Raw genomic sequence first — 14,732 nt, forward strand, 5'->3', positions numbered from 1 at the left:
GAGCCAAAGTCAGACCCTCCGATGGTTGCATGCATCTAGTCAGCAGGGACTTAGGGTCCTGGCTCTAATCCTTCTGGTGGAACACTCACAGCCCAGCGCTGGAAACAGGGGTGAAGGGGATGGCAATAAGCACTCAAATGAATGAACCGCTGCCAGCCAGGCAGGCCAGGCCCAGGTGGCAGAAAAGTCCTTCAGATGGTGGTTCAAACAGGAGTACGGCAGGGGGCCACAGTAGCTGCCCTTCCTGCCTTGGTTTCTCCATCTGAGGAATGCACGTCATGTGTTTGCTGTTTCCCTGACCTTCCCAAGCTGCCAGCAGGATAATATATGGAAATTGCTTTGACCTCCTGAGAAAAGAGGGTCTCCAGGAATAGAAAGTTCAGCTGCTAATCCCGTCCCCCCAGACTTCCCACTAATTCCGGCTTCCGATGTCAGCCTGGCAGGTTGAGTTTAGCAAAAGAAAGAACAACTTAGAGGGCTGATGGTTTTTCTAATGGCCCCAGTTCTCCAAACACACCCACACACAATACACATGCACACACAGCCTGGTCACAGACCTCCCCACATGCACAGCCTTCCCTACCCTCGCTCACACACGCACCTCCCGCGGAGCAGTCATAATTGTAGAGAATAATTAGAACTAACATTTGCACAGCGCCCTGCCATTAACAAAGCAGTCCCACCCAGCACTTTCATTTAATCCTCACAACCACCCGAGAGGCAGGGATTATTGCTATTATTAACTGAGGCTCAGCAAGGTTAAGTGACTTGCCTAAGGTCACTCAGCTAGTAGGTGACAGGCATGGATCCAACTTGGGTCTCCTGACTCCAAATGTTATTCTCTTGCTGCTGGCCCACGCTTCTTCATGCATTCACGCGCATTCATTTGTTTGCTCGTTTATTCATTCATTCATTCATTCATTTGTTCACTAACTCAACAAATATTTATTTTGCATTAGTCGTGGACGAGACTCTATGCTAAGTGCTAGCTGCTTTGCTGCACCTTTTCACCTATCCTCATAATGACCTGGTGCTTTTCCTGTCCTCATTTCGTAGTGGAAGAAATGGGGTTGAGTAACAACAACAAGTAAGTGACAGAGTTGAGATTGAGCCCACAGTGTGACTTTTCCAACCCCTCCTGTCTCAGGCAGGGGCTGGAAGAGCAAGTAGCCCTGCCCAGGCCCCATGGATCAGAGCTCCTAGCTCGTCCCTGTCACCCAGACATTTCAACTGAACAGGCCCAGAAAATCAAGGATAGGATTTTCTCCAAAATGCCATTGGCATCTCTGGGGACAGAGTCACATTTTCCTACTGATTACACAACACGGTAGCATTTACAATAGTCGCTCCATCCATCAATATCAGTCAGAGCCAGCAAGAAATGTCCCCCTTCCCCCAACCCTGTGGTGACCCAGACTGAGAGCAGAGGCAGGATGGAGGGAAGAGGGGACATGGCTCTGCCCTTCACAGAGCCCAGGGATGAAGGGGAGATGCGCCCCTTCGGGGGGAGCGTGGGAGTTGTCTGGCATTGACGCCTATGGACCTTGGAGTCACACAGACGTGGACTCTGATCCCGGCTTTGCACTCTCTAGCTCTGTGGCCTTGGGCAATTCAGTTACTTCTTCTCTAGAAGCCTCAGTTTTCTTATGTGCAAAATGGGTATAATGACCCCTCCTTCTGAGGCTTGTCTGTGCAAACTGAATAAGACCATGTTCTGAGCAGTAACTACTTGGAGGCTGGTTGACTGAGTAGAGAGATATGGTCTCAGACTCCTGTCTGGGCTGGTTATCCTGTCCTCTCTTGGAAGGGCGAGCACATTTTCCAAATGGAATTGTCTGGCACCTCCTCTATTCTCTGCCTCTAAAAAGAGTCTAACTGAAGGCAGACGATGGAGTGGGGTGATGTTTGTTGTGCACCTACCATACCAGGACTGGGTCAGGCATGCTCGGAGGTCTGAGTGCAGAGGCCTCTTCCCTTGATCCTGAGCCAGTGTGTCAGGTCCAGGAAAACCCAAGGAGCAGAGATGGGATAAGACTTCAAGGACTTGGGACAAGGGGCCCTTGTCACAAGGGCTCTGTGTGTGTGTGTGTGTGTGTGTGTGTTTCTGAACATGGGTTTCTGACATTTGGATTTCTTTCCCCATTTATTTAGTAAGCGTATATGTGCATTGAATAAATGTAATTGAGCACCTACCATGTGTCCTAACTGTTCAAAATGCTGGGGCTACAACCATGAACAATGAGGCAAAATTGCAAACCTCATAGAGGCTGGATGCTAGTTAAGGAGACAATGTTTATGTAAACAACAACCAAAAAATCAAATCCTAGCCCTGCTGTGTGACTTTGGGCAAGGCACTTAGCCTCTCTGAGCATGAGTGTCTCTCTTTGGGATGTTACCTAATGACTCCTGCCTTACAGAGCTACTCAGAGAGAATGTATGTAAACTGAAACTGCATTGCAAACTGGAAAGCTTTGTGCTTATATGCATTACTCTGCATGTAAACATGTGTGCTTGCCAGCACCCATTTTCCTTGGCTCAGTGAACACAGCACCTGTGGGACTCCGGAACTGGTCCCAAATTCCATAAAATCCACAACGCCTCCCACCAGAAATGTAGGGAGGGAACCATATGGCTCTGATATCCTGACTTTGGGTTTGGTTTTGCCCCAAGACAACACATCCTGCAAGTTTCTCTGCTTGTAACTTAAGTCCCAAGCCTCTTGCTCTAATAGCTTTCATGTTAAGGAGGGCAGAAAAGGTTGAGCTGAACATTGGAAATGCCCTAAGCCTGGAGAGAGGTCTGGCTTCAGTGAAGGGGACATGAGCCTGGCCCCAGGAAGTGGAGAGGAAACCCAATGAGGGTGGACTGACAGAGGTGCTACTATCATCAATAATGTCATTCTCCAAGTCCTCCCTTCCTGGCTCTGAGTGAGTAAAACACTCACACTCCACTGCTCTCAAAGGGCTTGACACCAGTGCCCAAGCACTGGCCTCACTGAGGCTCTCAACATAAATCACCTATCCTGATCCAACTCCTGCCAATGCTGCCTAACCCAGCTCAGTCCTGCTCACCTAAGTATAGCCCAAACTTTCCAACATAACCTAGTCCAACCCATCCAACACCTCTCTTAACCTAGCCTAGTCCAACCCAGGCAACCTCGTCCATTGCAACTCATCCCAACCCAACCTGTGTAGCTCAATGGTGGTAGAAACTGTAGACTGATTCATTCAGCCCCTTTCCCTCTCTCCTTCTAGTGTGCCTTTTTATCTCATAGGGGCTGAAAAGCTAAAAACTGTATTTCCCAGACTGCCCTAGAGTTAGAATGCAGATGTTATGTAGGTTTTACCGCATGCCATACATTCATGCAAGGCTTGAAGTCAGAAGTGTATTGAATGGGCAGAAAGGCAAGGAATGAGCCGTCCTTTCAAAACAATAACCATAGAAAAAACTCATGCAAAAGAAGAGAGAAGAGTGTGATGTACCTCTATCTGTATGACCCAGATTCAACAATTAGGAACATTTTTCCAATTTTGTGTTACCTGCCCAAATAATTTCCTCACCGTACTTTTTTTTATCTGGAGAGAAACCCTGTCAATGCTTTCACTGAAGTGTGCATTTAGCTAGTGTGGACATGCAGGTGAGCATGTTTCTTGAGTCAGAAGCCAAATTGGTGGCTTCCTGACTTGGCAGATGGTTTCCTAATGGTTGCAAAAGGAGCAGCTGCCTTGGTGGTCCATTCTGCAGCCTAACTTTGGGAGTTGGTCCTGAAGATGAAGCCTAGAATCTGTTTTCAGCTCTCCAAATATTTCTGTGAGCCATGAAATACTGTTAATACATTTATTTTTGCTTAAACTATTCAGAGTAGATTCTGTCTCTGAAACTAAAAGCTAATACATCCCCAACCAAATATATCCTCAGCTCAGTCTAACCCTGCTAAAAACCAACCCATCCTAAAATCATTCCAACCCACCCAAGCATGTTAAATCCAGCCTGATTCAAATTAGCCTAGCTCAGCCAAACCCAGCCCCAACCAAGCTATGCCTGACTCACCTCTTTCTACCTCAGCCCATCTAAACTCAATGCAATCCATCACATCTCAGCCTAGGTCAATTACCTTAATTTAAACAAGCCATTTAATCTGCACCTCAGCTTATATGACCCATCCAACTCATCTCAACTCAGTCTCTCCCAGCCCTAATCCCAACCTACCCAATGAATCTCAACCCAACCCATTCCATGGGAGTTGAGTGACACAGCCCATTTAATTTCACACGTATTTACTGAGTATCTTTTGGGGCCCCTGTGAGAGAACAAAGGGAACTTGAACTTCTTTACAGATGTAAGGCTGCATTCTTTTTTTTTATGCATTTCCTTTGTTCTTTTTTGCCTCCTTCTTTCCGATATCCCCCCCACTATAGACCCTGCCTCCTTGTTTACGTCCTTTCACCTTGGCTACCCAGTGTCCCCACAGTGCTTTCCAGGTGTTCAAGACCTCCAGTGGGAAGCCCCTCTCCTTCCCGGTCCTACCTGCCTGGAGAGTACCCCTAGAACCTCCACTCCTGCAAAGCTTATCTATTGTAGTAGTCAGAATTTCTAAAATGGGCTCCCAAAGATGCCCTTCCCTGATTCCTGAAACTTGTGAATATGATTAGACATCGCTCCTGTGATGATGTTATGTTATATGGTATAGTTGGCCTTAAGATAGGGAAGTTATCCTGAAGTATCTGGTGGTCCCAGTGGAATCAGATGAGCCCTTAAAAGCAGCAAGCTTTCTTTAGCCAACAGCAGAAAAGGAAGTCAGAAGAAGGAGATCTTGGAGATATTTGAAGTATGAGAATAACTTGCTGCATCATTGCTGGCTTTGAAAATGGAGAGGACCATGTGAGAAGGAAAATGAATGGCCTTAAGGAGCTGATGGCTAGCAAGGAACCAGGGACTTCAGTCTACAACTGCAAAGAACTGGATTTTGCCAACATCCTGATTGAGCTTGGAAGGGCATTTTTCCCAGAGCCTTCCCATAAGACCCCAGATGGCTAACACCTTGATTTTAGCCTGTGAGACCCAGGGCAGAAGACTCACATAAGCCCACCCGGATTTCTGGGCTACACAATTATACCATAGTAAATAGGTACTGCTATAAGTTGCTAAATTTATGGTAATTTGTTTCATAGCAATAGAAAACTAATATGCCTAGCCTGTGTTCACTCTCTCAGAATTATCTTGATTTTTTTTTTTTCCTAATCAACCTAAGAGATGAATCATCACAGAATAGGGAAAGAATACAGTATTGAACACAAATACACCTGGGTTCCAATCCTGGCTCAGTCACCTACTAGCCATGTGACTTCAGCCAAGTTACATAACCCTTCTAGGAAGAGCTTTATTCATCAATAAAATATGAGGATGATAACTTTCCTGGTCAGTTTGCTTGGAAAATTAAATATAATGCACATTGCATGTCTGACACATAGTAGGGGCTTAAATGTTTCTTTTACTTGTTTGGGATAGCAATAAGCTAATATTAAGTAGTCAGTTTAAAGATGTTAGAGTAAGTGCAGTTATTTTTTTCACTACCATCATTAATAGTCGGACAATTTTAATAGCACATCACTGACTTGACCTAGAGGGAGAGCTACTAGTGGAATTGAGGCCATGCTGATGAAGAGGGGTACTTGGTAGAGTGCCCAACATCACAGATCTCTAAGCCTATGTCAGAGTCTGGGTCTTGGATTAGTCACTGGACACACTATGAGACCAGGAGGAAGGAAATAAGCGGTGAAAATGACCCAAAGTTAAATTGAGAAATACATGCTGTACTCTGGAAATGAAATCACCTGATCTCCCTTTCTGGACCCAGGGAGCAGGTGACCCCAGCCACGGCTTCTTCTTTCAGGAACTGCAAAGCAGGCAGGACTGAGCTCATACTGCCACATCCTGCTCAATCTAGGAGGGTATCAGGAACCAAGCCATTTCCCTTTCTTCTCCCCAAGTCTAAACTTTACAAGTTATCAGAGAGAGCATAGAACAAGCAATCTTGAGTGTGTGGAGAAGGAAGACCTATTGAACTTTTCAGAGCTCTTCGGGGTTCAGCATTTTGTCCCTCTCCTTTTCCTCCTATCCTCATAGCCCCACTCCTCATCTACATGGACCCTTGGGGCCGTTGGATTTGGTGGTATCCTGTAAAGGTCTCCAGGCTTGTCAGAAAGCCTAGGTTCTGGTCCGTGGTGTGCAGAGCTTGTTTGCACCCACTGGCCAGAGCTGACCGTAAGTGCCTCTATTCAACTGCACTATCAAGTGATCTCACTTCAGTTTGAAATCTGCCATGGTGAGAACACACCATAGAAACTGGCAAAGACTGCAAATCAGGCTTTCTCTTCTCTAGAGAGCTGGTGTTAAATTTACCAGTAGACTGATGCTTCTAGCCTTGGCGGCCTGGGAAGAGGCAGATTCCTGCCCTTTTCTGGGCCTCAGTTCCCTCTTTAGTCAGTGCCTTAGCTACCCTCTAAGGGCCTTTAAAAAAAGCTCATTAGATACCAAAGAAAAGAGAGAAAGTGTGGATAACAAAATTATTGCTTTCATGGTAATACTTTCACAATAAAAATAGGGTTCACAATAGTCACATTTAGAAAGAGCTCTCTCTTTGCTAAATACCATGCTATGTATGTCATCTAAGGCCCTCCCTTGCCTTACTTAACCCCCCCTCACACCTGATTCAATCAGCTAGTGAGGTACGCAGGGCTGAAGATTTTTCCCCACTTGGCTCTGAAATTTGAGTGTCTGCATATGATTCTGGGCTCCACCACTTTCTCAGTTAGTTTGACTAAGTTATTTAATTTCTTTGTCTCTTGTTTCCTAACATGTAAAATGGAACAATAATAAAAGTTTCTACTTCTTCAGGTTGTTATGAGTATTAAGTGAGAAAACCCATGTAAAATGCTTGGATTAGTGTCAGTCACACAGTAAGGGCTAAAGGAATGTTGAGAAATGTCTTAACATTGTCTATCCCTGCATCTGTGGAGCCCACACAGGCCTGTTCCATGGTAGATGCCTAATAAATGTTTGTATTGGAAAAGAAGGGAGGCCAATAGACAAAAATGACAGAGAGAAATATTTGTATTAATAACTAAATGAATCTTTCATGTTTACTCACCTCGGTCTTTCCCATTTACTTTCACCAACTTATCTCATGACCGCCCTCATAGATGTTCTACAAAGAGTTGGAAATTCATTTACGTAGTCACTCAACAAATATTAATTGAGCCCCTCTGGTGCCAGGTCCTGGCTAGATGCTGAGGCTACCATTGGGAATGAGCTCTGGGTTTAGCTGGCGTTAGAATCGTGGAGTCCTTGGTCTTCTGTTGGGCAGACAGGCTCTGAGGGGCCACAAGCTTTGTGCTTGCAGGTACAAGGGGTGATGTGCTATGTTCCACTGCCACCTGCCACTCTGATCCCTGGGTTAGATGATCCTACATTTGAACCTTGGCTCTGCTATTTACAAGTGATGTCTCTTGTTCTTGGACAGGTGGTCCCCTCTTTTTTCTAAATCCCTCTTTCCTCTTAAGTCAAATGGATAAAAACATCCACCCTACTTCAAGGTTCAAACCTGTGTTTGAGGGGTAGAGCAGATGCTGGCATCTGGCACGGAAAAACACAATAAGTACATGCTTGCCCCTTCCTCTGGGCCACAGTCGGAGGTAGGCCCCCATTTTTCAGGGAAACAGAGGCCCAGGGAGGTGAAGAAACTTTCTTAAGCTCCCCGAACCTTGTGCATGTGGTGGGGAGCAGGATTCCCACCCACCTCTGCAGCCTGAGCTTTGCCACTGCATGAGTCCCCTGCCCATGTGGGAGGAAAGGCACTGGGGACCTTGGGCTATAGCAGGCCCAGGCGGGCCACAGGGGAGGGTGAGGGGTGTACAAGCCTGGCCCATGGACATGCAGAGAGCCCTCGCTAGGAGATTGGCTAGCCCCACACAAATAAACCCAGACATGGGGGCTGGGCCTGGGACTCACTGGGGACTGCTCCAGGGCAGGGCTGGAGTTTCACTTTTCACCCAGCTCAGATGGGGAGTGACAGGGCTGGGGGCTGCCTGACAGTTCAAAGAGGGTATGTGGCTCTGAGGTCGCAGTTCAGCAGAGAAGTCATTCCCCAGCCCCCTCAGCTGGGAAAAATGTGTTCAAGCTGTTCCCCCTCCCGGAGTGTTCTTGCCTCCCTCTCCCCTCCCCCTGTCCCTCCCACTGCACTGCTTGCAGGGGTTGGTGGGGGTGGTACTCCAGGACCCACTGGGCCACTCCTCCTGCAGGAGGTCTACGCTGAACATTCTTGCCCCCTCAACCTCTTTATTTCCTTCACTCTCATTTCACTGAGCACCTGCTATATGCCAGGCCCTGGGCCAGGCACAGGCGATGCTGAGATACATAAACTCTGTCTGCTGAAAGAGCTCATGAGGTGATGAGAGAAATAGACAAAAACAGATAATGTCAGTGCAACATGATAGGAGCTAAGATAATGGTAGTTTCCATTTATTGAGTGCTTGTTATGAACCACAGGTTTTATATGTAGTATATCATTTGCTCCTCACAAGAAATATAATCCCTGCACAGTAATTACTCCATTTGACAGCTGAGAAGACTGAGGCTTTGGAAGGCAGCCTGCTCATGTCACATGACAAGCTCCAAAGCCTTGCCCTTTCTACCATCTCCTCCTGCCCCAGGGGCTATGAGAAGTCTGGAGAACCTTGGGAAGGAGAGGTGGGTTGGGGATGCTTCCTGGAGGAGACTGTACCTGGGCAGCACCTTGGACTAGGCAGTGGCTAGCTGGCTTGGTGGGGAGATGGCTTTTCAGACAGAGAGAGGAGTTTGTATAAAGATCCCGGGAACTGAATGCCAGTCCTCTCTTGGGCACCATGCTTGGCTGTTCTGACTGCTTTCTCTGAAGTCTTTTCCTGGCTCATCCTCTCCTCCCAGGTGGTTAACTTCCATTCTGCTTCCTCTCCCACAGATTCTCTCTCCCTACATGACCTCATCCATGCCCTTGGCTTCAGCTACCATCTCTCTGCCAATGACATGAACATCTCTCTCCCATAAGAACCGTACATCCCACTGCTTACTTGACCCCTTCAGTTCAGTGTCTTAAAGGGACTTGAAATGCCAACATGCCCCAAAGAGAATGTCCATTCCAGGGCTCTTGTCTCTGGGCCTGGTAACAGCCTTCAGCCTGCAGCCTGTACCCAGGGCAGAGTCAGCCTGACACCTCCTCCTCCCTCACCTCCGCAGCTGAGCCCTCACCAAGGCCCATGGATCCTGTCTCCATCCACATTTCCCATCTCCACTTCTGCTGTCCTGTCTGAGCTACCATCCCCTGCCTAGATTATAGCAAAGCCTCCCCAAATGGGCTGTCCTCTCCACTTCTGTTCACAATGCAATCCATGCTCAACATCGTTGCCAGTGTGATCTCTTGAACACACCTTACATTCTGCTGCTTACATCCATGACTTGCTATTGCTTTTAGGATAAGAGTCCAGTTCCTTCTGGGGAACTGGGGAAGCCTCCAGGGACCTGTGTGATCTAGGCCTGCCAACTTCTTCAGGTTTATCTTTCGCCATGGAACCCACTGAACCATCACGTCACCATTGTGGACTCTGGTTATTTGAAATGTTCCCGGCTTCCTCCCACCCAGGGAAGTTCAAATGCACAGATTCCACTGCTAGGAATGCCCCTCCTGACTCCAGGCCGGCCCTAGTCAATTCCTCTGTGTAGTCACATCTTACATCCACTCCGACATTCACTCCTCACTCAGGAAACTTCTCCCGGCACTCACAGTAGGTCGCCCTTGCCTGTTGGTGTGCTTATTGTCCCCTGAGCTTTTCTATCATAGCACTTATTCACTTGTGTTTCATATTAGGTTAAAAATGACGCCGTTTCTCTCCCGCATTCGGCTGTGAGCTCCTCCAGGGCAGGCCTATGCCCAGGTCATCTCTTTGCCCCACAGTGCTCAGCACAGTGCCTAGCCAGCCCAGGCCCTCAGCCAGCCTCTGCTAAGGGAGCCCCCCAGGAGCTGGTGTGGTTTAGTGGCAGTGGCTGTTGTGCAGGCTGTGGCTGAGACTGGCCAGGGAAATGCTAAGCGGCATCTGAGAAAAGCATCGCATCTGCAGCTCACCCTTTATGTCTCAGCGCGTAGGCAAGCTCTGGCTTCACCTCTGGCTTGCTGTGTGACCTGGGGCAAGATCCTGTACCTCTCTTGGCTTTGAATTACTCAGGGGATTGGACCCATGACCTTGTGGCTCAGTCTAAGACTCCAAATGGATAAACCCTCTGATCCTGAAGAGGAGGTTGGGGTGTCAAGGGCCCATTTGCAGAAGTCTCTGGAGAGAGTAGAGTGGTCTGAAGCTGTGGAAGAGGAAGATTTCAGGCTCAGGGTCCATGGAGCTCTTTTTCCTGCTCCTACTGCCCATGAGGAGGCAGCCACAATAAGCCTCAGCCTCCCCCTGCCACTCCCTGTGACAGCTACCACTCACATCTGGGGAGCAGCCTGGCATCCCCAAGGTCACGTTAGGACAGGGAGCAACTCACATCTTGTGTTCATAAAAAGGTAGTGGCGGCAATGGATGGAGGCCTTGGCCCCCCAGAGAGGTGAGCACTGCCAGTGATGTGCCCCTACTCTTTATCTCAGGGACCTGGCTTGCCATCTTATTTTACAATGGGGTAAACGGAGGTCCCAAGCAGGGGCATTGTCCCCTAGGGCCACACAGCCAGGCACTGAATGGCAGAGCTGGTACTAAAGCTGGCCATCAGAAGTCATTGCTCAGGGATATGTTGGTTGGTAACCCGGGCCTGGCTGTACTAGGGGAAGGTGCACATTCACAACCCTGGGCAGGGAGCCAGGAGCTGGTGTGGTGTGGAAACCTGGGCTCTAGAGCCACTGACTCGGTGTTGTGACCTGGGAAAGTTGCCCTGTTTCTCTGGCCCCAAGGTCCTCACCTGCCTGATGGGAGAAGAGCAAAGGATCGGGCTGAAGTGGCACAGCATATGTTGGAGCGTGGATGGTGGCCCCTCAGCTCCCAGAGCTCCGAGACAGCATGGTGGGCCTGCGGGTGGCATGACCTTGCCAATGATAACCCTACAGGGCTCGGGGCCAGGCCCCTTCTCTCCGTGGGTCATTCATTTACCAAGGCAGAGGCACCGGGGAAGAGGACTGGGCAGGACCTTATCTTATCAGGACTGATCAAGGAAGGGGCTGCTAGGGGGCTGAGGGGAAGAGCGGCAGGAAGGAGGCCACTCCCCAGCTCTGGGGCCACCTGCTTCCCTGGCTCCTCAGAATCTTGAGTCAGGTCCTCCTGGGCATGACTGGTATTCTGGGCAGACAGTTATTTTGTGTAGGGCATTAGCACCTATGGCAACTCACTGTGACAAAATGTTCCCAAACATTCCCTAATGCCTCCTGGGGTGACATGCAAACCCCTCTGGGCCATCCTGTCATCCCTTCTGCTCAGAGCTCATGAGTGCACACCTGCCTCAGTGCACTGATTGGGGCCTAGGCCACAAGAAGGCCGTGGGGGAGAGTGAGGTACTCATCCCCCAGTGGGGAGACTGCCTGAGTCTCCTTCCCCCGACCCTGTCACGATCATGCTGATGGCTGCCATCTAGAACCTGGGCCCCCTCTGTAGCACACATTGCAGACAGCCAAGACCAAGGCGAGCAGCACACCACAACCTATCAGGAGTCTAATCCCTGTTCCGGTGCTAACTTGCTGAACAAGCTGAGGCAACTCTCTTCCCCTCTCTGAGCCTTTGTTTGCTCGGGTGTAACATGTGGGGGTAGGAGGAAGGATCTCTAAATAAACCAGAAGACATTCTCTTAGCGCACAGGTGGGTGCACTAAGGTGGGTGCACAGCATTGTCCTCACCCGCTTCCTGCCAAGGGTCTGCCATTTCAAGTTGCCCATCCCCAGAGCTGTCACCAGCAGCAGCAGCAGGGTGCAGTAGGCAGAGCATGGTTTGAATCCCAGTTCCTCCTGTTGCTGACTTTTATGGTTCTGGGCAAGTTGCTTCCCCTCTCTGAGTCTCAGTTTGCTCAATTGTAAAAAAAAAAAAAAAAAAAAAAAAAAAAAAAAGTGGAGAAAAGAATAGGTACGAGAATTAATGTGATACCTTTGCAGCGTTGGGCGCTTCAGGGGCATTTATTAAACACGCACTGTGGCTCCTGTCCTGGTGGGAGCTGGTCTAACGCGGTGGTACATGGTGTGGGGCTGCCTGTGCTGCAGTTTCCAACAGACAGCAAGGGGATTCCCAGCGAGGAATCGCTAAGACTTAACTCGGATTGCTGCAGCACCTGGGCACACACCACAGCCACACCTTGGGTGTAGCCACACCCATGTCCATGCACACATCCCAGATGTGCACTCACACAGCCTAGCCACCCACGAATACGCGTGTGAATGTGTCCTTGCCTGTCCAGGGCCAGGTGCCCTCTGACCTGCCTGTTTCAGGAGATGAGTCTGAGGCTGAAGCAGGGAAGTGACTTGCAAGAAGAGATAGGGCAATGGCAGAACCAGAATTCTGGCACACAGAGCTCTGGCTTCCCAGACTGGCTGGCTCCAGTGTTCCAGGTAGCCCACGCCAGATGTCCAGGTGCGAGGGTGCACGCCCAGGCACACTCTCACAAGGTTACACAGGCCGTGCATTCAAACGAGTGGCCCTGGAGCAAAAGCTAAGGCACAGCCACATTACCCTACCCATCCAGGACCCACCAGAGCCCAGGAGGGTAACCCTGAGGGAGACAGACCAGGGCACCGCACACTGGGTCCCAAGCACATCTACCCTGCGGTTCCCCTGGGCCAAGCCGAGTCCTCCCCAGCACAACAGCGCGGCCCCTCGGCCTCCGCTTAACCTGGGCGCGCGGGCTGGCTGGGCCGGGGCCATTATGCGGGCGCATGGCCGGCCGCGCCGGGGCGCAGAGCAAACTTAACCTTCATTTGGGAGCGCCCAGCGGCCGGAGCGCGCGGCGCAGCCATCGATCGCGGCTAATGGCCTCGTCTAAATGCGGAGCCGCTGCCTCCGCCCCCCGGGTCAGGGCGCCCCCGCCCTCGCCCCCCGCTCCGTGCAAAATGGTGTTTACCAAAGTCAATATTGGCCGCGGCGCCCGCCCGGGGCACCCGGGAGCCCCTCTGGCCTCCCCCAGCCCAAGGCTGGATCTGGGCCACCAGAGCCTCATCTTGGTGTCCCAACTAGCCCCGGCCCTGACAAGGAGTCTTTTGAGGGCTAGACACAGGCGGGTCTCGCCCAGGGTCTCCCAGGACCCGACCTGGAGTCTCAGGCCTCCTTCCTGTCTCGGCGCTGTACTCCCTGGGCAGCGCCTGCAGTGGGAAGAGAGCCTCGGCTTGACTCCTGACTCCATCTCTGTATAGATCTGGGCAGGTCCCTTCCCCTTTCTGAGCCCTCAGAGCTGTCATTTTTTTTAACGCCTTCCTCAAAGTGTTCTTGAAAGGATTGCATTAGAGATAATGCAGGCCAAGTGCCCAGCACAGAACCTGACATTCGGGGTCGTTTTGGGAGGGGCTACTCTGACATAAGGCAGAGGGGTGTCTGCCCCTGTCCTGTGTCACCCTTCCCTGTCTTCTGTCTGGTTGCCTCCTTCAGGGCACTGCTGAGCGGGCTGCTGCCAGCATCAGCCTAACGGAGACACAGCACCGGCCGTGGAAAATTCTTTATCTTAATCCTACCTCACTACTGAAGAGCCTGAGGCAAATCCTTGACCCCTTGGATGCTCTCGTCTGTGAGGGCAGCAATGAGAATTCCTGCTCTCCCGGCCGCTGGGCAGATGTGCCCTCGCAGATGAGTGGGTGTCTGAACTGGGGGCACTGAGGACCACACAGCTCCCAGGCAGGGCGGCGGTGTGAGAGGCCCGGAACGTGCTGATGCGTCGTCTCTGCCTTTCCAGCCTGCAGCCAGTGAGCCGTGTTGAAACGGCATCATATTAAGCTCATTTCGTTATGAGACCTCCACCCCGCTCTGGGTCGCCTTTCATTCTTGCATTGCGGATCTTTGGATTGATAAGAAAAACATGGTAATTGCAACTTCCCCTTACTCCCCCTTCATTCTCTGTTCACATCAGAGAAAGGAACTTTTAAATGAGAGCCAGAGAGAAGACTTGAGGGCTGGTCCCAGAGCTCCTTCAGCCACCCGGTTATGGTTACGGAGGGACTGGTAACCTGAGCCTGCCATCTGGTGGCCATGGCTGTGCTGACAGCCTTGCTCCTAGAATGCGGTCTCAGTCCTAGTCCCTACGAACTTAGGCTGATGTGTGACATCTGAGAGTCACAGAGTCCTAGAATCACAGGATGGTACTTACTTAGGATGGGAGAATATTCGATTCTTGAGATAATGCATTCATGGAATGTTAGAACAATAACAATACCTACCATTTCTTGATAGCTTTCTCTGTGTCAAAGTATTAAGAAAGTGCCTTGTGGGAGCTGTTTCATTTAAGTCTCTCTCCATCATCATCACATGGCGACGACATTTATCCCCATTGTATAGGTGAGAAAACTGAGAATCTCATTAAGTAATTTGTTCAAAATCACATTATGATAAGCAGTGGGTTGAAATGTGAACCCAGGTCTCCTGACTCCAGACCCAGGCTGTTAACCACCATACTTTACTATAGAACCTTAAGATAGTACAATCTGAAACTGCCAAATTTTAATATTATAGGATCGTCGGGTATGAGAATCTTAG

At 50.0% G+C, this 14,732-nt stretch overlaps 2 annotated features.

Moving 5' to 3' along the window:
- Window positions 12,601–13,168: an enhancer, noted in NCBI's record as "H3K4me1 hESC enhancer chr1:48190497-48191064 (GRCh37/hg19 assembly coordinates)". NCBI's record gives its function as "activates a minimal SCP1, AML or CMV promoter by ChIP-STARR-seq in naive H9 embryonic stem cells {active_cell/tissue: H9 hESC(naive)}" and the evidence as "EXISTENCE:reporter gene assay evidence [ECO:0000049][PMID:30033119]".
- Window positions 14,033–14,327: a silencer, noted in NCBI's record as "tiled region #13425; K562 Repressive DNase matched - State 12:CtcfO". NCBI's record gives its function as "represses a minimal TATA promoter and a strong SV40 promoter by Sharpr-MPRA in K562 cells {active_cell/tissue: K562}" and the evidence as "EXISTENCE:reporter gene assay evidence [ECO:0000049][PMID:27701403]".

This window comes from Homo sapiens, chromosome 1 (assembly GCF_000001405.40).
Source record: "Homo sapiens chromosome 1, GRCh38.p14 Primary Assembly".
NCBI lineage: Eukaryota > Metazoa > Chordata > Mammalia > Primates > Hominidae > Homo > Homo sapiens.